At 40.6% G+C, this 26,136-nt stretch overlaps 1 protein-coding gene across 2 annotated transcripts in view, besides 1 other annotated feature; it reads right to left on the bottom strand.

The window, feature by feature from the left end:
* ZNF718 (zinc finger protein 718) overlaps positions 1-26,136 on the bottom strand; it is a 77,831-nt gene that overhangs the window by 6,828 nt on the left and 44,867 nt on the right. The gene's annotated exons all lie outside the window — the stretch shown is intronic.
* Positions 21,275-21,809: an enhancer, noted in NCBI's record as "NANOG hESC enhancer chr4:167459-167993 (GRCh37/hg19 assembly coordinates)". NCBI's record gives its function as "activates a minimal SCP1, AML or CMV promoter by ChIP-STARR-seq in naive H9 embryonic stem cells {active_cell/tissue: H9 hESC(naive)}" and the evidence as "EXISTENCE:reporter gene assay evidence [ECO:0000049][PMID:30033119]".

Raw genomic sequence — 26,136 nt, 5'->3', positions numbered from 1 at the left:
CCTAACAGGGGATTTAAATCTTAATTACCATACAAAGGTCCGACCAGACTAAGGAGGAACTCCCTTCAGGACAGGACAACAGATGGTTCCTCCCGGGTGATTGAGAAAAAAAACCACAATGTGTATGCAGTAATTGACAGGGAGTCTCTTATGGAAGCAGAGTTAGGAGAATTGCTTAATAATTGGTCTGCCCAAACGTGTGAGCTGTTTGCACTCAGCCAAGCCTTAAAGTACTTACAGAATCAAAAAACTATCTCAATCCTGACTCAAAAGGTTACCTACACCCTCTCTGAAATGAATTTGCATAAGAACTGTTGTTTATAGGGATGCATCTTGATGGGGCAGCTGGGTTGTTATGAAATACTCAGGAACCCAGCCCAGCTCTAGGACTCACCCCTGAGCACAAAGGCAATGTTGGGCACTCTGGTAAAGGACCACTAGAATCCAGCAGCCTGGACCCCTTTCTTTGTGGTCAAGAAAGGCAGGAAAAGGGGTGCAGGACTGCTACATTGGTGAGCATAACTAATTTGATAAGCAGAGGTCCATGGGTGGTTACACACCCTGGAAAGGAATAAGCATTAGGACCATAAAGGATGCCCTAGGACTAATGCTCATCGGAAAATGGCTAGGGGTAGTGGCATCCCTATGTTCTTTTTTCAGATGGGAAACATTCCCCCAAGGCAAAAATGCCCCTAAGATGTATTCTGGAGAATTTGGCCCAGTCAGAGTGCATTTGTCTTTTTCCCTCTCAGATTTGAAGCAAATTAAAATAGACCTAGGTAAATTCTCTGATAACCCTGACGGCTATATTGATGTTTTACAAAGGTTAGGAGAATCCTTTGATCTGACATGGAGAGATATAATGCTACTGCTAGATCAGACACTAACCCCAAATGAGAGAAGTGCCACCATAACTGTAGCCTGAGAGTTTGGCGATCTCTGATATCTCAGTCAGGTCAAAGATAGGATAACAACAGAGGAAAAAGAACAATTCCCCACAGGTAAGCAGGCAGGTCCCAGTGTAGACCCTCATTGGGATGCAGAATCAGAACATGGAGATTGGTGCCACAGACATTTACTAATTTTTGTGATAGGAGACTAAGGAAAACTAGGAAGAAGTCTATAAATTATTCAATGATGTCCACTGTAACACAGGGAAAGGAAGAAAATCCTACTGCCTTTCTGGAGAGACTAAGGGAGGCATTGAGGAAGCATACCTTTCTGTCACCTGACTCTATTGAGGGCCAACTATCTTAAAGGATAAGTTTATCATTCAGTCAGCTGCAGACATTAGAAAAATACTTCAAGAGCCCGCCTTAGGCCCGGAGCAAAACTTAGAAACCCTATTGAACTTGGCAGCCTTGGTTTTTTATAATAGAGATCAAGAGGAGCAGGCAGAATGGGATAAATGGGATAAGAAAAAGGCCACCTTAGTCATGGCCTTCAGGCAAGTGGACTTTGGAGGCTCTGGAACAGGGAAAGGCTGGGCAAATCAAATGCCTAATAGGGGCTGCTTCCAGTGCGGTCTACAAGGACACTTTAAAAAAGATTGTCTGAATAGAAATAATCCACCCCCTTGTCCATGCCCTTATGTCAAGGGAATCACTGTAAGGCCCACTGCCCCAGGGGATGAAGGTTCTCTTAGTCAGAAGCCACTAACCAGATGATCCAGCAGCAGGACTGAGGGTGCCTGGGGCAAGTGCCAGCCCATGCCATCACCCTCACTGGGCCCCGGGTATGCTTGACCATTGAGGACCAGGAGGTTAACTGCCTCCTGGACACTGGTGCAGCCTTCTCAGTCTTACTCTCCTCTCCCGGACAACTGTCCTCCAGATCTGTCACTATCCAAGGGTTCCTAGGACAGACAGTCACTAGATACTTCTCTGAGCCACTAAGTTGTGACTGAGGAACTTTACTCTTTTCACATGCCTTTCTAATTATGCCTGAAAGCCCCACTCCTTTCTTAGGGAGAGACATCCTAGCAAAAGCCGGGGCCATTATACACTAGAATTAGGAGAAGGAAAAAGGGTAAATCTATATACAGACTGTAAGTATGCTTACCTAGTCCTCCATGCCCACACAGCAATATGGAGAGAAAGGGAATTCCTAACTTCTGAGGGAACACCTAACAAACACCAGGAAGCCATTAGGAGATTATTATTGGCTGTACAGAAACCTAAAGAGGTGGCAATCTAACACTGCCGGGGTCACCAGAAAGGAAAGGAAAGGAAAGGGAAATAGAAGGGAATTGCCAAGCAGATATTGAAGCGAAAAGAGCCGCAAGGTGGAACCCTCCATTAGAAATACTTATAGAAGGACCCCTAGTAAGGTGTAATCCCCTCTGGGAAACCAAGCCCCAGTACTCAGCAGAAGAAATAGAATGGGGAACCTCACAAGGACATAGTTTCCTCCCCTCAGGATGGCTAGCCACTGAAGAAGGAAAATACTTTTGCCTGCAGCTAACCAATGGAAATTACTTAAAATTCTTCACCAAACCTTTCACTTAGGCATTGATAGCACCCATCAGATGGCCAAATCATTATTTACTGGACCAGGCCTTTTAAAAGCTATCAAGCAGATAGTCAGGGCCTGTGAAGTGTGCTGAAGAAATAATACCCTGCACTGCAGGTCATACATTTCAATCTCTGTATCTTTAACCCCCTTGTTAAGTTTGTCTCTTCCAGAATCGAAGCTGTAAAACTACAAATCATTCTTCAAATGGAGCCCCAGATGCAGTCCGTGACTAAGATCTACTGTGGACCCATGGACTGGCCTGCTAGCCCCTGCTCTGATGTTGATGACATTGAAGGCACCCCTCCCGAGGAAATCTCAACTGCATGACCCCTACTATGCCCCAGTTCAGCAGATAGCAGTTAAGAGTTGTCCAGCCAACCTCACCAACAGCACTTGGGTTTTCCTGTTGAGAGGGGGGACTGAGAGACAGGACTAGCTGGATTTCCTGGGCTGACTAAGAATTCCTAAGCCTAGCTGGGGAAGGTGACCGCACCCACCTTTAAACACGGGGCTTGTAACTCAGCTCACACCCCACCAATCAGGTAGTAAAGAGGGTTCACTAAAATACAAATTAAGCTAAAAGCAAGAGGTAAAGAAATAGTCAAATCATGTATCAACTGAGAGCACAGGGGGAGGGACAATGATTGGGATATAAACCCAGGCATTCAAGCAGGGAGTGGCAACCCCCTTTGGGTCCCCTCCCACTGTATGGGAGCTCTGTTTTCACTCTATTAAATTTGCAACTGCACACTCTTCTGGTCTGCGTTTGTTCCGGCTCGAGCTGAGCTATCGCTTGCCATCCACCACTGCTGATCACCACCATCGCAGACCCACCACTGACTTCCAACCTTCTGGATCCAGCAGGGTGTCCACTGCACTTCTGATCCAGTGAGGTGCCCATTGCCACTCCTGACTGTGCTAGAGGCTCACCATTGTTCCTGTGTGGCTAAGTGCCTGGGTTCATCCTAATTGAGCTGAACACTAGTCCCTGGGTTCCACGGTTCTCTTCCGTGACCCAGGGCTTCTAATAGAGCTATAACACTGACTGCATGGCCCAAGGTTCCATTCCTTGGAATCCATGAGGCCAAGAACCCCAGGTCAGAGAATAAAAGTCTTGCCACCATCTTGGGAGCGGCCCGCCCCATCTTGGGAGCAGCCTGCCACCATCTTGGGAGCTCTAAGAACAAAGACCCACCCGTAACGCTGTTGATGACCAAATTAATATTTTTCTTTTCAAAATATTTTAACTTACCCATTTTGATGAAGGTATTGCTGGTAAGTGTCCATTTCCAGCTTTAAGAATAATTTCTCACATTTCCATTTATATTTATTTTTCTGGTTTTGGTTCTACACAAGTTGTGGACATTTTACTTCCATCCTTGTAAAGTATATATTTTTTCTCTCACTGATTTATAGTGATTTGTTCTCCTCTTTGATGTTAGGTGGCTTGGCTATTTTTGGTATTTAATTTCCTTATTTTTTGACCCACTGTGTTTCTTCTATTAAAGACTTAGGCTGGGTGCGGTGACTCATGCCTGAAATCCCAACACTTCGGGGAGCTGAGGCAGGTGGATCACCTAAGGTCAGGAGTTCAAGACCAGCCTGACCAATATGGTAAAACCCCGTCTCTACTAAAACAAATACAAAAATTAGCCAGGTGTCGTGGTGTGTGCCTGTAGTCCCAGCTGCTCAGGAGGCTGAGACAGGAGAATTGCTTGAACCCCGGAAGCGGAGGTTGCAGTGAGCCGAGATGACACCACCGCACTCCAGCCTGGGGTGACTAGAGTGAGACTCCATCTCAAAAAAAAAAAAAAAAAAAAGACTTATGTCTGGTTTTTGATTTTAGAAACTTAGAAGATACCAACTCTAAATATTGACTTCACTTTTGAAAATATATTCTGTAGAAAAAAATATATATATATTTTTTGAGATGGAGTCTTGCTCTGTCACCAGGCTGGAGTGCAGTGGCACGATCTCAGCTCACTGCAACCTCTGCCTCCTGGGTCCAAGTGATTCTCCTTCCTCAGCCTCCCAAGTAGCTAGGATTACAGTCACCCACAACCACGCCCAGCTAATTTTTGTATTTTTAGTAGAGACGGGGTTTCCCTATGTTAGTCAGTCTGGTCTCAAACTCCTGACCTTGTGATCTGCCCGCCCCAGCCTCCCCAAGTGCTGGGATTACAAGCATGAGCCACCACGCTCAGTTGAAAAAAATAGATTTGTTTTATTTCCTCTCATTCTACTTTTCATAAATGTATATTTGTGGTTATATAACTTCTTCTCCTTTTCTGCTTTTACACTAATTCTGCTCAGTATTCTAGGTTCCCTAATCTTCTCGTTAGCTCAGACTAATTCAATGTTTCACTCAAATGTTGTAAATTAAATAGACTGATTAATCTTTAATTGTTTACTTTATATTTGACTTTTTCCAAATAAGATTTGTCACCTTATAGCTTCTTGTTTCTTCCACATTATTAATATATTTACTATTTTCCTCATTATATTGACTTAAAACTTCTTTTTTTTTTTTTTTTTGAGATGGAGTTTTGCTCTCTCACCCAGGCTGGAGTGCAGTGGCATGATCTCAGCTCACTGCAAGCTCCACTTCCCGGGTCCACACCATTCTCCTGCCTCAGCCTCCTGAGTAGCTGGGACTACAGGCGCCCATCACCACGCCTGGCTAATTTTTTGTATTTTTAGTACAGGCGGGGTTTCACTGTGTTAGCCAGGATGGTCTCGGTCTCCTGACCTCGTGATCTGCCTGCCTCGGCCTCCCAAAGTATTGGGATTACAGGTGTGAGCCACCGCACCCGGCCTAGAACAGGTAAGATTTTTCTGTTTATCTATTAGCCAGGAGTACTGTGATACTAAAAGCAGACAAAAGGATCACAAATAAAGAAGACTGTGGACCAAAATCCTATATAAATATAGAATTCCTGATGAAATTATCAGAAATGTTAGCAAACTAAATTTAGCAATATGTAAAACTGATTACATACAATGACCAAGTAATAGTTTTTCACAAATGCAGTGTTGGCTTAATATTTTAAAAATCAACATATTACAAAATGTTACTTGAACAATAGAAAAAAGTGACAACTTAAATAGATGCAAAAGTTTGACAAATCCAGCACCTATTTATGATAAAACACTCAGAAAACTACTAGAATGGAACTTCTAAGACCTGCTAGAAAGCATGTATAAAAAATCAACAGCTAATAGTACACTTACTGGTGGATAATTGCAGACTTTATGTGTAAGTTCAAAAAATGGAACAAGAATGTACATTTCTTCCACTCTGTTTAACACTGTACTGGAAGTACTAGCCAGAAAACTATACTAGAAAAATAAATAAAACCTTCAGATTAGAAAAGAAGTAGAATACTATTTCCTTGCCATAGTGTTGTATAAAAAACTATTATAAATTTATCAAAAACTTACTTGAACTAATAAAGTTTATTAATGTCACAAAATACGAGATTAATATACAAGATGAAATAATACTTTTATATAACAGTAATCGACATACTAAAAATTAAGTCAAGAAAAAATTTAATAATAACATTGGAAAAACCATTTGGGAACATATTTTTAAAAGCAAGTACACATACTTTACAGTGAAAATTATTTAAAATGCTGAAAGAAATTTTTAAAACTGTATAAGGAAAGATATATCTAATATTCAAGGTTATCAATAAGAAACGTTATGATCAAAATACCCAATGAAAACATTTACAGTAGCCGGGCATGGTAGCACATGCCTGTAATCCCAGCTTCTCGGGAGGTTGAGGCAGGAGAATTGCTTGAACCCAGGAGGCAGAGGTTGCAGTGGGCCGAGATTGCACCATTGCACTCCAGCCTGGGTGACAAGAACAAAACTCCATCTCAAAAAAAAAAAAAAAAAATAATCTACAGATTCAATGTAAATTTCAAAGTAAATTATTTTCAATGTAAATTGACAAGCTGCTCTTTCTAAATTCTATATGGATGTGCAAAAAAAAAAAATCAAACACACATGAGACTTTGAAAATAAAAACAAAATTTACTTCTGATATCAGTTCTTACTAAAATGTTATCATAACCAAACAATAGGGTACTACTATAAGGATAGATTTTGAGGACCTATCTGGGAGTGACACAGAGCCAACAAAACGCCCAGCCCCAGCCAAGAATAGGGGTGAGTGAATTTGCAACCCTAGGAAACCACACTTCTCCCACAAATCTTTGCAACCCTTGTATTAGGAGAGCCCCTTGTGAGCCCACTTGACCAGGGCCTTGGGCCTGACACACAGAGTTGTGTGGAGTCTCAGTAGAGCAGCTGCTTAGACACACACAGAGACCCAGGAGCTTTACACACTTCAGTCCTGGGATTTCCAACAAAGGTGACTGCAACTCAGACAAGGTGGGAGGTCAGTGCATGCCTCCAGGAAGAGGCTGAATCCAGGGGGATGAGCAGCAACAGTCTGTGGGCCCCACTTCCACTGCACCTCATATGATAAGACCCACTGGCTTGGAATTCCAGCCACCAGCAACAGCCTAGCACCTGACTGAGATGGGTCAGAGCCCCTGGGGGAGGGCCAGGCCACTATCTTTGCTGCTTGGACGTTGGCTTTGGAGAATCCAAACAATCCGAATGAGGAAGGGACCCCACAGCACAGCACAGCACAGCTGTTTTACCAAGATATGGCCAGGCTGCTTCTTCAAATAAAAACCCAATCCATTATCCTCGCTGGATGAGTCTTCCCAGCAGGGGCCTCCAGCCAGCCCCACCCATATTCTATGAACAGAGTTCTGATTTCTCCCTAAGATAGAGTGCTCAGAAAGGGGAAGATGGGCTGCTACCTTAGCTGTTTGTGTGACTCAGCCATTCCAGCTTATGAGTCCAAGCTGACTGGGACAAAGGTGGTTCCCCAGCATGGAATGGCTGTTTTGTCGAGGCATGGCATAACTGTTTCTTTAAATGGGACCCCAATCCATTTTTCCTTGCTGGGCAGGTACTCCCAGCCAGGGCTTCCTGCCACCCATGCCCATGTTCTAAGGCCAACAGAGTTCTAATTTCTCCCTGGGATGGGGGTGCCCAGGAGGCAGAGTGGGTCACCATCTTTGCTGTTTGGGCATCTCAGCCAGTGCAGCCTGTGGGCCTTGGAGAGCCCAAGCCAATTGGGGGCTGAACAAATCCCCCCAACACAGTACAGTTGCTCTACCAAAACACAGCCAGACTCCTCCTTTAATTGGTTGCTCATCCCCTTTCCCCTGATTGGGTGAGACCTCCAAACCATGGTCTCCAGCCACCTCCTACAGTTGTGTTCAGGCAGTCAACAGGTCAGTACCCCCTGGGATGGAGACCCCAGAGGAATGTGCATGCTGCCATCCTTGCTGTATTGCAACCTTAACTGGTGATACTTCCAGGTACTTAAAAAACCAAGGTGACTGCCAGGCACAGTGGCTCACATGGCTCATGCCTGTGATCCCAGTGCTTTGAGAGGCTAAGGTGGGTGGATCTTGAGGTCAGGAGTTCGAGACCAGTCTGGCCAATATGGTGAAACCCTGTCTCTACTAAAAATACAAAAATTAGCTGGGCGTGGTGGTGCACACCTGTAGTCCCAGCTACTCGGGAGGCTGAGGCAGAAGAATCGTTTGAACCCTGGAGGTGGAGGTTGCAGTGAGCCGAGATCACACCACTGCACTCCAGCTTGGGCTACAGAGCGAGACTCCGTCTCAACAAAAAACAAAAACAAAAACAAAAAAAACCCCAAAAAACAAAAAAACAAAAAAACCAAGCCTGGAGTGGACCCCCAGCAAACCACAGTAGCCCTACAAAAGAGCAACCAGATGATTAAAAGAAAAACAAACAGACAAACGACAACAAAAAACCCCCACAATAACCCCATCCAAAGGTCAGCAACCTGAAAGATTGAAAATAGATAAGCCCACAAAGATAAGAAGTGGCACAAACATGATGAAAACTCAAAAAGTAAGGGTGCACCATGTTCTCCAAATGACTGCAACACCTCTCCAACAAGAGTTCAGAACTGGGCTGAGGCTGAAATGGCTGAAATGATAGAAGTAGGCTTCAGGATGTGAATACAAATGAGCTTTGCTGAGCTAAAGGGGCACATTGTAACCCAGTGAGCTAAGAATCAAGTTAAAACAATGCAGGAGCTGACAGCCAAAATAGCCAGTATACATAGAAACATAAATGACCTGATAAAGTTGAAAAAACACACTACAAGACCTTCACAATGTAATCACAAGTATTAATAGCACAATAGACCAAGTGGAGGAAAAACATCACAGAGCTTGAAGACTGTCCTTTCTGAAATAAGACAGGCAGACATGAATAGAGAAAAAAATGAAAAGGAATGAACAAAACCTCTGAGACGTATGAACATATTTCAGGATATCATCCAGGAGAACTTCCTCAACCTAGCTAGACAGGCCAACATTCAAATTCAGGAAATGCAGAGAACCCCAGTAAGATACTCCATGAAAAGACCATTCCCAAGTCATATAATCACCAGATTCTCCAAGGTCAAAATGAAAGAAAAAATGTTAAGGCAGCCAGAGAGAATGGTCAGGCCACCTACAAACAGAAGCCCATCAGACTAACAGCAGACCTCTCAGTGGAAACCCTACAAGCCAGAAGAGATTGGGGGCCAATATTCAACATTCTTAAAGAAAAGAAATTCCAACCCAGAATTTCATATCTGGCTAAGTTAAGCTTCATAAGTGAAGGAGAAATAAAATTTTTTCAGACAAGCAAATACTGAGGGAATTTATTACCAGCAGACTTGCCAGACAAGATCTCCTGAAGGAAGCACTAAATATGGAAAGTTACCATTACCAGCCACTACACTTCATAGTGTCAGCCAGTGACACTATGAAGCAACCACATAAACAAGTCTATAAAATAACCAGCTAGCATCATGATGACAGGATCAAAATCACACAGAACAATACTAACCTTAAATACGAATAGGTTAAGTGCCCCAGTTAAAAGACACAGCATGGCAAGCTGAATAAAGTACAAAGAACCATTGGTACGCTGTCTTCAAAAGACCCATCTCACAAGCAAAGACACACATAGGCTCAAAATAAAGGGATGGATGAAAATTTACCAAGCAAATAGATAACAGAAAAAAGCAGAGGTTGCAATCCTAGTTTCTGATAAAACAGACTTTAAACCAACAAACATCAAAACGACAAAGAAAGGCATTACATAAGGGTAAAGGTTTCAATTCAACAAAAAGAGTGAACTATCCTAAATATATATGTACCCAACACAGGAGCACCCTGATTCATAAAGTAAGTTCTTAGCAACCTTCAAAGAGACTTAGACTCCCACATAATAGTAGTGGGGTACTTTAACAAGCCATTGATAATATTAGACATCAAGATAGAAAATTAACAAAGATTTCAGGATGTGAACTCAGCCCTAAATTAAGTGGAACTGATAGATTATCTACAGAACTCTCCACCCAAAAATAACAGAATATGCATTGTTCTCATCACCACATATCACTTACTCTAAAATTGACCATATAATCAGTATTAAAACATGCCTCAGCAAGTGCAAAAAACTAAAATCATAACAAACAGTGTCTCAAATCACAGTGTAAGCAAAGTAGAACTCAAGGATAAGAAATTCACTCAAAACCATGCAACTACATGGAAATTGAACAACCTGCTCCTTAAGGATTCATGGGTAAATAATGACATTAAGGCAAATATCAAGAAGTTCTTTTAAACTAATGAGAACAAAGAGACAATGTACCAGAATCTCTGAGATGCAGCTAAAGCAGTGTTAAGAGAAAAACTTACAGCACTAGATGTCCATATTAAAAAGCTAAAAAGATCTCAAGTCATCAACCTAACATTACAACTAAAAGAACTAGAGAACCAAGAGCAAACAAACCCCAAAGTTAGCATAAGACAAAAAATAACCAAGATCAGAGCTGAACAGAACATAATAGAGACACAAAAAAACCCTTCAAAATGTCAACAAATCCAGGAGCTTTTTTGAAAAAATTAATAAAATAGACTTCTAGCTAGACTACTAAAGAAGAGGGAAGATTCAAATAAACACAATCAGAAATAATAAAAGAGATATTACTACTGACTCCACAGAAATACAAACAACAATCAGAGAATATTATAAATACTTCTACACATATAAACTAGAAGATCTAGAATAAATAAACACATTCCTGGACACACAACCCTCCCAAGACTGAACTAGGAAGAAATTGAACCCCTAAATAGGCCAATTACAAGTTCTGAATTTGAGACAGTAATAGAGAGTCTACTGACCAAAAAAAGCCCAGGACCTGACAGATTCAAAGCTGAATTCTACCAGAGGTACAAAGAAGAGCTGGTAGCGTTCTTACTGAAACTATGCCAGAAAAAATGAAAATGACAGACTCCTCCCTAAGGCATTCTATGAGGCCAGCATTATTTTGATACCAAAACCTGGCAGAGATACAACAACAAAAAAAGAAAACTTCAGGCCAATATTATTGATAAACATGGATGCAAAAATCCTCAACAAAATACTGGCAAACTCAACCCAGCAGCCCATTGAAAAGCTTATCCACCATGACCAAGTAGGTTTCATCCCTGGGATGCAAGGTTGGTTGAACATACACAAATCGATATATGTGGTTCATCACATAAACACAACTAAGGACAAAAACCACATGATATTTCTCAATAGATGCAGAAGAGGCCTTTGATAAAATTCAACATCCTTCATGTTAAAAACTCTCAATAAACTAAGTATTGAAGGAATGTACCTCAAAATAATAAGAGGCACCTATGACAAACCCACAGCCAACATTATACTGAATGGGCAAAAGCTGGAAGCATTTGCCTTGAAAATCAGCACAAGATAAGGATGCCCACTCTCACCACTTTTATTCAACACAGTATTGGAAGTTGTGGCCACGGCAATCAGGCAAGAGAAAGAAATAAAGTGTAGTCACATAAAAAGAGAGGAAATTAAACTATCTTCTCTGCAGATGACATGATCCTATATCTAGAAAACCCCACTGTCTCAGCCCAAAAGCTTCTTAAGCTGACAAGCAACTTCAGCAGTGTCTCAGGATACAAAAACAATGAAAAAAAAAATCTCTAGCATTCCTATGTACCAAAAACAGGCCAGTTGAGAGCCAAATCAATAATGAACTCCCATTCATAACTGCCACAAAAAGAATACAATACCTAGTAATACAGCTAACAAGGGAAGTGAAGGACCTCTTCAAGAAGAACTAAAGGCCATGGTTCAAATAAATCAGAGGTGACACAAACAAATGGAAATACATTCCATGCCCATACCTAGGAAGAATCAATATCATGAAAATGGCCATACTACCCAAAGAAATTTATAGATTCAATTCAATGCTATTCCCATTAAACTACCATTGACATTCTGCACAGAACTAGAAAAAAACTATTTTAAAATTCATATGGAACCAAAAAAGAGTCCAAATAGCCAAGGCAATTCTAAGCAAAAAGAACAAAGCTGGAGGCATCAGGCTACCTGACTTGAAACTATACTCCAGGGCTACAGAAACCAAAATAGCATGGTACTGGTACAAGAACGGACAGATAGACCAATGGAACAGAATAGAGAACCCATAAATAAGACTGCACACCTACAACCACCTGGTCTTCAACAAATCTGACAAAAACAAGCAATGGGAAAAGAATGTCCTGTTTAATAAATGGTGTTGGGAGAACTGGCTAGCCATATGCAGAAAACTGAAACTGAATCCCTTTCTTACACCATATACAAAAATCAACTCAGAATGGATTAAAGACTTAAATGTAAAACCAAAAACTATAAAAACCCTAGAAGAAAACCAAGGCAGTATCATTCAGGACATAGGCATGGGCAAAGATTTCATGACAAAGATGCAAAAAGCCATTTCAAGAAAAGCAAAAATTTAAAAATGAGATCTAATTAAACTAAAGAGCTTCTGCACAGAAAAAGAAACTGTCAACAGAGTAAACAGACAACCTACAAAATAGAAAAAAATTGCAATCTATGCATCTGACAAAGGTCAAATATCCAGCACCTATAAAAAGCTTGAACAAATTTACAAGAAGAAAACAAACATCCCCATTTGAAAGTGGGCAAAGGATATTAACAGACACTTCTCAGAAGAAGACATACATGTGGCCAACCAACATATGAAAAAAAGCTCAACATCACTGATCATTAGAAAAAAGCAAGCCAAACGCAGTGGCTCACACCTGTAATCTCAGCATTTTGGGAGGCTGAGGTGGGCGGATCACTTGAGGTGAAGAGTTCAACACCAGCCTGGCCACATGGTGAAACCCCATTTCTACTAAAAATACAAAAAATTAGCCAGGCATGTTGGTGGTTGTTGTGATCCCAGCTACTCAGAAGGCTAAGGCAGAAGAATCGCTTATACCCAGGCGGTGGAGGTTGCAGTAAACCGAGATCATGCCACTGCACTCCAGCCTTGGCAACAGAATGAGTCTCTGTCTCAAAAATAAATAAATAAATAAATAAATAAATAAATAAATAAATAAATATAAATCAAAATCAAAACTACAATGAGATATCATCTCACACAAGTCAGAATGGCTATAACAAAAAAGTCACAAAACAACAGATGCTGGTAAGGTTGTGGGAAAAAAGGAATGCTCTTACACCATTGGTGAGAGTGTAAATTAGTTCAACCATTGTGGAAGACAGTGTGGCAATTCCTCAGAGACCTAGAGGAAGAAATACCATTTGACCCAGCAATTCCATAACTGGGTATACACCTAAAGGATTATAAATTGTTTCATTATAAAGGCACATACACGTGTATGTTCATTGCAGCACCACTCATAATAGCAAAGACATGGGATGAATCTAAATGCCCATCAATGACAGGCTAGATAAAGAAAATGTGATACATAAACACCATGAAATTCTATGCATCCATAAAAAGGAACGAGATCATGTCCTTTGCAGTGACATGGATAGATCTAGAAGCCATTATTTTTAGCAAATTAACGCAGGAACTGAAAACCAAATACTGCATGTTCTCACTTATAGGTGGGAGCTAATTAATGAGAACACATGTACACATGGGGGGAAAAACACACACTGGGGCCTGAGTATGGAAGGTGAGAGGAAGTAGAGGATCAGGAAGAATAGCTAGCAGATGCTGGGCTTAATACCTGGGTGACTGTATGATCTGTGCAGCAAACCACCATGGCACACATTTACCCAAGTAACAAGCCCACACATCCTGCATATGTACCCCTGGACTTAAGAGTTGGAAATACAGTGAAAAAAATAGATTTTTATAGATTAAAGGAATAGAATTTGTGGTATATTAATAAATATATTACTTTGTGGTAAAATTAATTTTGTCAAAGATGCCAAGAAATTTTAATAGCAGAAGTTTCTTCAACAAATGATACTGAGAAATCAGTTGTCAACATGCAAACAAATAAAGCTGAACCACCTAACTCAAACCACACAAAATAAAATATTAAAAATTGATTATATCTCTAATTTTAAAAGTTAAAATTATCATATTCACTGGACAAAAATTAGAGTAAATTTTTATAATGTTGGATTAGGCAAAAAATATCTTAGGTATTACACAAAAGCAAAATCAAGAATAAGAAAAACTTAGGCCAGGATCAATGGCTTATGCCTGTAATCCTAGCTCTTGGAGAGGCTGAGGTGGGAGAATTACACAATCCCAGGAGTTTGAGACCACCCTGGGCAACATAGTGAGACTTCATGTCTACGAAAAAAAAAAAAAAAAAAAAAAAAAAAGCTGGGCACTGGGGCACAGGCCTGTAGTCCCAGCTCCTCAGGAGAGGAGATTGAGGCTGCAGTGTGCCACAATTGTGCCACTGCACTCCAGACTGGGTGACAGAGACCCTGTCTCAAAACAAGAGAAAAATAAAGAATACTACTTCATGAAACAGAAAAACATTTGCTTTTTGAACAGAATCATAATGAATACAAAAGACAAAATATTTAATGGCAAAACATTTTAAGTTTTAAATCTGATTTGGGTCTAGGAATAAATATATTAAGAGAACTCTTATGAGTTAATACAATAATTTACCAATGCAACACGAATAAAGCATTTGAATAGACAAATTCTAAGTGGCATGTAAAATGTTTCAATATTATTACTCATTAGGAAATGCTACTAAAACCACAATAATATCATCACATTCCCCAGAATAGCAACACCAAATGTAGGCATTCAGATGCACCCAACTAGAGTGTGTTTCCAGAAAGGTGGATATGCCTTATGCATTTTTATTTAACTTTGATTGCCCTAAACACAGTGTGATGCACATCACTTTACATCATCAATGCTTTCTTGGTAAATGAATGAATACCTGGAAGGTCCTGGTTTGATTCTCCCAAAGTTGGGCTTTTTCCACACTGCCAGCCAGAGTCTAATCTGGTCAGAGTGAAATTGCTTGTGATTGTCACTGAACCCGACCGAGAGTTTTTCTTATACTGAGATCCCTGGCTCCTTTCTGGAGAATTCCTCCTCTTGGCCAGGATCCCTGTTCAGAATGCTAATAAAGGATTCTTTTCTAGACTGATCATTCTGCCTAGACTAATTTACAAATAAGCAACCAGCCTAGAAAACACTTTTATTCTTATTTTTTGAACCTGGATTATAATAACAAAGTAAAATATTGTTAGACAACTGGAATTAGTTTCAGCTGACAAAAAAAGTGTAGGTAACTTACACAATGAATGAAAAGCGATAAAAATGGAAATTGTTTAGGAGTTATTTGCAGTCTCCAATATCTCTGTCTCTCCCAGGAGGCCCTGCTGGCTTGGGCCTTGTATAGCAAAACAGTGATTACGTTATCCAGATGCTTTCTTGGCTCTAATTTATAGCACTTTTAAAATTTTATTTTTTTCTCTGCTTCCTTTCTTCCTTTCATTTTTTAAATTCTTACATTTTGTTTCTTTTTCTCTCCCTTTCTTTTGTTCTTTCTTTCTTCATTTTACATGGATATACAAATAAAGGCAAGGATAAAACATATATGATGTTTTATTTTAATTAAATGACACAATGCCAAACATTAGAAAATAAAAAGCAATTCAATAAAGTGAATTAAAATAACCTACAATTCCACCACTGAGAATTTACCTTCCTTAACTTCCAACTTTCTGGGTATTTGTGTGTGAGATTGGGCCAAAGACGGACATTTGTTTTCAACTTTTGAAAGACATTTTTATTGCCATACCAACTTGACAATGATACATCTAAAAAGATAAAACAGCTGGAGATCATGTGGTTTGCCTACCTTCCATGGTTCGGAATGTGCAGGAGTCCAGAGACAGGCCATAGAAACACTTTGTACTCTTTCTCTTCACCTTACATGATCTCTGATGCAATTCCAAACATTCACAAACACAGACATAAACATACACATACATTTCTCAGTCAGGAGACTTAGTATTGTTAAGCTGTCAATACTACTCAGTGATGCACAAATTCCATGTCAGCCTTATTAAAATTCCAATGTTACTTCTCTTACAGAGATATTTGATAAAATCCTAAAATTCATATGTAATCACAAGGGACCATGAATAGCCAACACAGCTTTAGAAAAAAACAAAGTTAGAGGTACCACACCTCATGATGTCAAAACTGATTCCAAAGCTACAAAAATAAAACCATTGTGATATTGGCATAAAGACAAACAAATGGTTGATGGAACAGAACAGAGAACCAAGAAATAAACTTTTGGGAATATTATCAAATAATTTTTTACTAGGTTATCATGACCAAACAGTGAAGAAAAGGTCAGACTCTCCAACAAATGGTGTCAAAAAATTCAACACCTAAATAGAAGATAATGAACTTGGACCTTTCCCTTTGATAGCATGCAAAGAAAATATTTTACACAGACCAAATACCTAAATGTGAGACATATATCTCTTCAACGTTCAGAAAAATAGGGAGGAGCATAATAACATTAATTTTCACAAATTTTTTGAGTATTACATTAAAAGCAGAAGTAACAAGAAAAGAATAAAAAATGGTACTATATCAAACTTTCAAAACCTTCTGCATATCAAGGGAAACGCTTAGTGGAGTACAAATGCCAACCAGGAGATGGGGAAGAAATTGCAAGTAATCTATTCGACAGGAATTAACATCCCTTATGTATAAATGACTTCTAAAACACAACAACCAATAGTGAATATCTTGATTTTTAATAAAATGAACCAAGGTCTCCAAAGACATTTCTTTAAAAAGGCTATGCAAATGGCCAAGAGGCATTTGAAAGGATCATCAAAATTATTTTTTTGGGAGAAATGCAAAGCAAAATCCCAGTGAGCTCTTACCTCTCACCCATTAGCATGGCCACTATTCAACACACAAAAGGAATCAATGTTGTCAAGGATGCAGAGCATTTGGAACCCCCATGCACTGTTGGTAGAAGAGAATAATGCAGCCTCCAAGAAAATTAGGATAGAGGTTTCCCAAGATATTAAAAATCAAATATGGCTGGGTGTGGTGGATCATGCCTATAATTCTAACACTTTGGGAGGCTGAGGTGAGAGAATTATCTGAGCTCAGAAGTTTGAGTCCAGCCTGGGAAAAATAGGGAGACCCCACCTCTACAAAAAATACAAAAATTAGCCAGGTGTAGTGACATGTACCTGTAGTCCCAGCTACTTGGCTGGCTGAGATGGGAGGATTGTTTGAGCCCAGGATGTCAAGGCTGCAGTGAGCCATTATTGCACCACTGCACTCCAGCCTGGGTGACAAAAACAGATCTTGTCTCAAAAAAAAAAAAAAATGAAATTATCATACAATCCAGCAATCCCATTTTCAGGTATCTGTGTATGCAAAGATGTATACATGTCAGCATGTACTAGCTATATTCTGACAGTTTAACCACAGTATGAGCAATTACTGGGTGTCTTAAGGGGTGTTTCAGGGTATTCTTTCTTCACAGGTATTTCCCGTCCTCTCTGCTCAATTTAGCATACATGTTTCGGGTTGTCTTTGGAGCATGAGATTTTCCTCCCTCAGGGGCTTTTTTTTTCTGCTCATGTCTAACTGCCTACTCTAACATTCTCCCCTCAACAGATTGAGACCCTAAAAATCTTTGAGTTTAGGGGCACTGTGGGTCTTCCGTAACTGCTTCCTGCTGACATGAGATAAAGAACTCATCAGTGTCTCATTGTTTTGTCCTTTGTCAGGGAAAGATATCCTCCATGTTCTCTCAGGTTTGACTTGCAGTCTCCAGAGAAAATGTGTAGGGACACAGTTTTCCAGCAGGGAAAAAAGTAGGTTAATATTCCTGTTAGAGGACCATTTGAACTCTGAGAGTTTCTAGGTGAGAAGGAACAAATCTGGTTAGTAGATTTAGTGAGCAAGGCCCAAAAAGGAGAAAAAGGAAGACAAAGGCCAGGGATCCCAACAAAATGAGATGTCATGAGGTCTGGGACCAGGTGGCACCCCAGGAGAACTAGACCTAAGTGGCATGTTTCTGAAGGGAAGAGGCCTGGTGTATAAAATCTCTCACATGATTCTGGACTTGCCTTAATCTGTTAACCCAGAAACAGCATTTTTCTCCTAGCATAAGGCGAATTTATTCCTGAGCTGCAGTCAGTGTGTCAAGACCTCTACAATTTCTGGAGAACTACAGTCATAAGATAATAAACCTGTTGCTGTAACCCTGTTAGAGTTTGAGCAGTGGTTTCTATTTTATGAGTCAGTTCCAGAGATGGGTTGTGGAAAGTTGAGGAGGCAATAACAATGACAGCTATTCCTGTGGTGGCACTTGTGATGACAAGCTCATTGTGGAAGGAAATTAGATAAACTTCTGAGCTGATCTGGTGTGAGGTGGTAAATAAGGGTAACAGCAGAGAAGCATCACCCAGAACAATGGAAATTTTAGGGGTGAGGTAAGCCAGAGTGTATGTTCTGGTCCAATTTGCAGAGAGGCAGAGATGAGCCTGCATCTTCCATAGGAAGTAAAGTTCTGCACTCCATAAACAAGAATGAATGCAGAAAGAGTTGAGGTCAGCTCCAAACATTGACAAGTGTCCATTTTGGCTGCCCAGTATCTGATATTCTGCCACTAAAGTTGCTGCTGTCTAGAGAGTTAGACATGGGTGATTAGTTTGAATAAGAGAATGAGTCTATTTTTCTACAAAATCATGTGTCTAGTAGTATCTGGGAGAAGGGTTTTCTGAAAGGAATAAAAGACTTGAAACCTATTGCATAATTCATACTGGCTTGGTTGATACCATGGGTTGGATTGACTGCAAGAAGAGTGATTGAGGTAGAATTCAGTGGCATCATTTTGGATACATGGTTCAGGAGTTAAAATATTGGGGGTGATAAGTAGAGAATCTCATTTGGTATCGGGAATATTTAATGAAAGTTAAAAAAGCTTGTGGGGTATTAATAGTGGTGCTGGATGTGTTGCATTATGCTGGGTCAAGAGCACCCACCCATAAGAGTTCTGGAATTGATGGTAGCATAGATGCATAGAGATGCCTGGCCAATGAGGGTTACAGGGGAGAACAAGGGGCTTAAAACAATGGGGTTGGGCTTAAGAAAATCTTCAAAGGCCTCTTTAGCTTGGGTTAGAAATAGTATGTTAGCAGGGGGAAGGTTTTGTATGAAGAGGTCCCAATGGTAAGTGAAACTAAGTTGGGCTTGAGTAGTTGCCCATTCTTGTATTGTGGCCAAGTAGGCCATTTTTACCCTGAATGGAATTCATGCACAGCTGGGTTGAGGCATAGGAGGAATTGGCAGACATTAGTGCTTGTGGAGCTGCCTGCAGAGTTCTAAAAGGTTGTGGGCAATTAGAGCTTATAAGGGTGCTTTTAGCCAGAAGTGTGAGTAATGATCATAGAGCATTAGGCTGCATAGTTCCAAGGCAAGTAGATTAGGGCCAAATTGATATGCTTGTTAAGAAGACTGCCTGTAGTCCCAGCTACTTGGGAGGCTGAGGCAGGAGAATGGCATGAACCTGGGAGGCGGAGCTTGCAGTGAGCCGAGATAGCGCCACTGCACTCCAGCCTGGGCCACAGAGCGAGACTCCATCTCAAAAAAAAAAAAAAAAAAAAAAGACTGTTAATCCAAAGAGTATTAGAGATAGAGACCACTATTCAGATTATGGCTTTGAGGTTTAAATTGAGGAGGGTCACAGTTAACTCTTCCCTGGAGGGGGTGTTGGTTTATGGTAACAAAGGCATATTAGTAAATCTGCAGAGTATTATGACTTGTAATATAAACATCAAAATATTACTAACATTGCTGACGCACTAAAGCAACCAAAAGTAAAATAAATCATTAGGCTAAAAAATTGATATTAGATAAAGCAAGCTCTTATTGGAACTCCTGGTGCTGCACAAGATAGGGTTAAAGAAAGAATAAACAGTGCCCCTGCAAATAAGATTGCCAATATTGGGATTGCCCTACTTTAAGGTAAAAAGAGGGAGAACATTACTTATCCTCTCATTCAAAGAGAAATTTTAAGTCCTCCAGTGGCTCACAACAGTAGCTGAGTTCTGGTTCCACATCTGGTTCCTTAAAGTCTTTCCAGGGTTTTATTCAAAAGTGATTTATCCAACTAGAGATGCCAGAAACTTTGATAGCTATTGGAGTAGAAAGTATGACAGTAAAGGGGTTCTTTTGTAAAGAGGTTAGTTGCGATCCAAAAGACCCATCTCTCCAGATTTTAATGAGGACTGCTGATCCTGCGGGGTAAAACGGTTGTTGGTTGTTGCAAGTGTCACTTAGGCAGGCAAACTCCGGATGGCCTCTTGAAATTGAGTCAGGGATTTTAGGTACTGGGTTAATTTGGTAACCTGTTGGTGTAATGTTAAGTTTGCAAGTAGAAAGGATCTCTCATATAGGATTTCAATAAAACTAAGGCATAGATGTAATTGAGGGGCTGTTCTGATCTGCAAAATGCCATGGGCAGAAGTTCTAGCCATGGTAAAGAGGTTTTCCTGGCATCATTTGCTCAGGGTGCTTTTAATAGCTCGATTAGTTCTTTCTACATTCCCAGAAGGTTATGGCCTTCAGGAGGACTGTAAAAAGTATTTTATCCCTAGGGCTTTTGCCACTAACTGGGTAGTGTGTAAAATAAAATATGAACCTTTGTTACTTTGTGAAGACCGTGGATGCCCAAATCAAGAGATAATTTATTTGAGAAGGGCCTTGGAAATTACTTGAATTTTTTCTATTCTACTATGAGATTCTTCAACCCAGCCAGTAAAGGTGTCCCCAAAGATCAGAAGGTAGTTATAGCCTCGACAGGCTGACAATTAAGTGAAGTCTATCTGCCAGTCTTCCTGTTAGCTAGGTTTCTTGTTGCTGAACAGGCTGAATTAATTAACTAGAGTGGCTTAGGGCCTCCAGGATTATTACAGACACGAGATGGATAGGCTTTACAAACTTGACAAAAATATTTTGCACAGCTGATGGAGATGGTCTCTCCCAAAGTGACAAGAATTATGGAGTGCCCTTATTACTTCCTGTTGGAGGGCCTGGGAAGACAGAGAACCGCTCCCAATTTATACAATCTTTCATGTTTTAGGATATATTCACATTTGATAACCCATTTCTTTTTCTTGTGAGCATATTGCAGGATGGGGAGGTTGTTAGACAAATTTGGAATAAGGGCCACAAAACGTTCCCAGAGAGGGTGGCTGAAGATTGGTCAGGGTGGTGGAAAAATTTGTAAGAAAAAGTTACAGGGAAAGACACAAACCTTCTTGGAAGGCCGGGAGGTTTTGCAAAGCTTCGGGGAAGAATGAGCTGAAGGCAGCTGTCCTTACCCTAGGGCAAAGGGTGAGGAGTAGATACAAAGGAATGTAGAGGAATTTATCTAAATAGCTTGTTTATTCATGTTGTCCTAAAACTGATCTCCTAAAACTGACCTTTGATCATTCATGTGCAGGACTGCTCTCTACTTGGGGGCCTACGATGTTTATTACCCACAAATTGTGTTTGTTCCAAGCCTTTGTCATTACATCTGTAGTAAACAAATGCGAGCATCAATGGCTATTCACGGCTGCATTCTTGTAGGTGGTGATAAGTGGTACAGTCCCCTAGCTGCACTGTTAGGTAAAATACCTGTGTCTGCATACTTCTTTCATCCCTCGCTCAGCCAAATTCTGTGGGATGGACTCTGCAGGTGGTGGCCCTAGCTGCTTGGTCAGCCCTCCTGTTTCTCTGGGCAATTTTATCTTGGCCCTTCTGGTAGCCCCACCAATGAACTACAGCTACTTTTGTAGTAGGTGGACAGCCTGGGATAGGGTAAAAACCTGCGACCCATATTTAACAGAAGTATCCTTTGCTGTCAAAAATTCCTTTTTCTTTTCAGATGGCTGTTAAGTGTGGAAAACTAAAAGGGCACATTTGAACTGTGTATAAATAGTAACTATTGGTTTCTTTCCTAGTTCTAGGGCTCTTGTCAGGACTAAGAGCTCTGACTGCTGAGCTGAGGTTCCCAAAGATTAAAAATTTAAAGTTTTATAAACAAATAGAAAACGATTTTGGTGGAAATAATTATAGGTAGTAGTATTTCAGCAAAGCTGAGAAATGGGCACAATGGAAACTAAACGAGTGAAATAGCTCAATAAATAAATTTGTATTAACGAAGGTAATAAAATCAGAGTATACTGCTTGTGTTTGTAGTAAATAATATTTAATTACATTACAGCATTTGCTGACTACAGGTTTAGTTTAAAATTATGCTGTAAGTACGGAGTTGCTGGAGGGGTGGGGAAGGGCAGTTGAAAAAAAAAGTTGTTCCCAAGTACATGTCAGTACCAAAGGGCAATTTCTAGAGTTTATATGGTATAAATACAGGAAGTATTTCTCCTTTGTGTATCATATTTATTTATTTTTATTTTATTTATTTTTTTAAGATGGAGTCTCACTCTGTCTTCAGGCTGCAGTGCGGTGGCACAATCTTGGCTCACTGCAACCTACACCTCCCAGGTTCAAGCGATTCTCCTGCCTCAGCCTCCTGAGTAGCTGGGACTACAGGTGCACCCCACCATGGCCATCTAATTTTAGTAGAGACGGAGTTTCACCATGTTGGCCAGGATGGTCTCAATCTCTTGACCTTGTGATCCACCCGTCTCAGCCTCCCAACATGCTGGGATTACAGGTGAGAGTCACCACACCTGGCATGTATCATGTTTTATACATTTACACACACATGTATAACAAAAAAAAGTATCAGTTGTTTCCATTTTTGTTAAATTTTTACTAAGAATGGTTGTTAATCATTTATTTTGTTTGAAGAAGGTGTTTACTATAATAGACAAGAGTTATTTCTGAAGTCAAAGTTGCTTGTGTTTTAATACTGGTTTTGCAATGTGACCAAGTCATTTTTCTCTGTGGCTCTGTATCTTTCTCCGTAAAATAAGTACCTATGTTATTGAGTTACTGTGAGAATTAAATTTATTAACACACATAGAGTTTTAGTGTTTGGCACAAATTAGCTATGATTAATAAAATTTTACATGCTGAATTACATTAATACATGCTTTAACACAAATGTATTTTCATTACATGAGTTTTTCAACCAATAGATGACTATATATTTAAATTTTTAAAAATGTGTTTACACACAATGAAATACTACTTGGTAATAAAAGAGAAAAAATCTTGTCATTTGAAACAATATGGATAAATTTAGAGTACATTATGCCAAGTGAAATAAGCCAGACGGCAAAATGCTGGTTACTGGATGCTTGTTTATTCAGAAAAAAAGAGGCATTTGGAGAGATCTCTGTAAAATAATACGTAAATACAGTTGACTAAGTTCAGAAAATTTATTGTACAGCATGGTGACTAGTCACCATGTACGGTATATGCTTTACAATAAATATAGAATATAGACTATTCTGCATGAAAAAATAAGTTTTGCTATAAGTATGTCATAGAAAGTTAATGTAAAATATCTCGACAGGTGGAGCCAAGATGGCCGAATAGGAACAGCTCCAGTCTACAGCTCCCAGCGTGAGCGACGCAGAAGACGTGTGATTTCTGCATTTCCAACTGAGGTACCGGGTTCATCTCACTAGGGAGTGTTGGAAAGTGGGTGCAAGACAGTGGGTGCAGCGCACCAAGCTTGAGCTGAAGCAGGGCGAGGCATTGCCTCACCCGGGAAGCACAACGGGTCAGGGAATTCCCTTTCCTAGTCAAAGAAAGGGATGACAGACGGCACCTGGAAAATTGGGTCATTCCCACCCTAATACTACGCTTTTCCAATGGTCTTAGCAAATCGCACACCAGGAGATTATATCCCATGCCTGGCTCAGAGGGTCCTACACCCACAGAGCCTCACTCACTGCTAGCACAGCAGTCTGAGATCAAACTGCAAGGCGGCAGTGAGGCTGGGGGAGGGGCGCCCACCATTGCCGAGGCTTGAGGGGGTAAACAAAGCGGCCAGGAAACTCGAACTCGGTGGAGCCCACCGCAATTCAAGGAGGCCTGCCTGCCTCTGTAGACTCCACCTCTGGGGGGCAGGGCACAGCCAAACAAAAGGCAGCAGAATCCTCTGCAGACTTAAACGTCCCTGTCTGACAGCCTTGAAGAGAGCACTGGTTCTACCAGCACACAGCTGGACATCTGAGAACAGACAGAGTGCCTCCTCAAGTGCGTCCCTGACTCCCAAGTAGCCTAACTGGGAGGCATCCCCCAGTAGGGGTAGACTGACACCTCACATGGCTGGGTACTCCGAGACAAAACTTCCAGAGGAACGATCAGGCAGCAACATCTGCTGTTCACCAATATCCGCTGTTCTGCAGCTTCTGCTGCTGATACCCAGGCAAAGAGGGTCTGGAGTGGACCTCCAGCAAACTCCAACAGACCTGAAGCTGCGGGTCCTGACTGTTAGAAGGAAAACTAACAAACAGAAAGGACATCCACACCAAAACCCCATCTGTACATCACCATCATCAAAGACCAAAGGTAGATAAAACCACAAAGATGGGGGAAAAACGGAGCAGAAAAACTGGAAACTCTAAAAATCAGAGTGCCTCTGCCCTCCAAAGGAACGCAGCTCCTCACCAGCAATGGAACAAAGCTGGACAGAGAATGACTTTGATGAGTTGAGACAAGAAGGCTTCAGATGATCAAACTACTCCGAACTAAAGGAGGAAGTTCGAACCCATGGCAAAGAAGTTAAAAACCTTGAAAAAAAATTAGACGAATGGCTAACTAGAATAATAATGCAGAGAAGTCCTTAAGGGACCTGATGGAGCTGAAAACCAAGGCATGAGAACTACATGACGAACGCACAAACCTCAGTAGCTGATTCAATCAACTGGAAGAAAGGGTATCAGTGATGGAAGATGAAATAAATGAAATGAAGTGAGAAGAGAAGTTTAGAGAAAAAAGAATAAAAAGAAACAAACAAAGCCTCCAAGAAATATGGGACTATGTGAAAAGACCAAATCTACGTCTGATTGGTGTACCTGAAAGTGACAGGGAGAATGGAACCAAGTTGGAAAACACTCTGCAGGATATTATCCAGGAGAACTTCCCCAATCTAGCAAGGAAGGCCAACATTCAAATTCAGGAAATACAGAGATCGCCACAAAGATACTCCTCAAGAGGAGCAACTCCAAGACACATAATTGTCAGACTCACTGAAGTTGAAATGAAGGAAAAAATGTTAAGGGCAGCCAGAGAGAAAGGTCGGGTTACCCACAAAGGGAAGCCCATCAGACTAACAGCTGATCTCTCGGCAGAAACTCTACAAGCCAGAAGAGAGTGGGGGCCAATATTCAACATTCTTAAAGAAAAGAATTTTCAATTTAGAATTTCATATCCAGCCAAACTAAGCTTCATAAGTGAAGGAGAAATAAAATACTTTACAGACAAGCAAATGCTGAGAGATTTTGTCACCACCAGGCCTGCCCTAAAAGAGCTCCTGAAGGAAGCACTAAAAATGGAAAGGAATAACTGGTACCAGCCACAGCAAAAACATGCCAAATTGTAAAGACCATCGATGCTAGGAAGAAACTGCATCAACTGATGAGCAAAATAACCAGCTAACATCATAATGACAGGATCAAATTCACACATAACAATATTAACCTTAAATGTAAATGGGCTAAATACTCCAATTAAAAGACACAGACTGGCAAATTGGATAAAGAGTCAAGACCCATCAATGTGCTGCATTCAGGAAACCCATCTCACGTGCAGAGGCACACATACGCTCAAAATAAAGGGATGAAGATCTACCAAGCAAATGGAAAACAAAAAAAGGCAGGGGTTGAAATCCTAGTCTCTGATAAAACAGACTTTAAACTAACAAAGATCAAAAGAGACAAAGAAGGTCATTACATAATGGTAAAGGGATCAATTCAACAAGAATAACTAACTATCCTAAATATATATGCACCCAATACAGGAGCACCCAGATTCATAAAGCAAGTCGTTAGAGACCTAGAAAGAGACTTAGACTCCCACACAATAATAATGGGAGACTTTAACACCCCACTGTCAATATTAGACAGATCAACGAGACAGAAAGTTAACAAGGATATCCAGGAATTGAACACAGCCCTGCACCAAGCAGACCTAATAGACATCTACAGAACTC

The sequence above is a fragment of the Homo sapiens genome, chromosome 4 (genome assembly GCF_000001405.40).
Source record: "Homo sapiens chromosome 4, GRCh38.p14 Primary Assembly".
Classification (NCBI taxonomy): domain Eukaryota; kingdom Metazoa; phylum Chordata; class Mammalia; order Primates; family Hominidae; genus Homo; species Homo sapiens.
The sequence above is the reverse complement of the archived record's forward strand: the minus strand, read 5'-3'. Positions and strand labels throughout refer to the sequence as shown.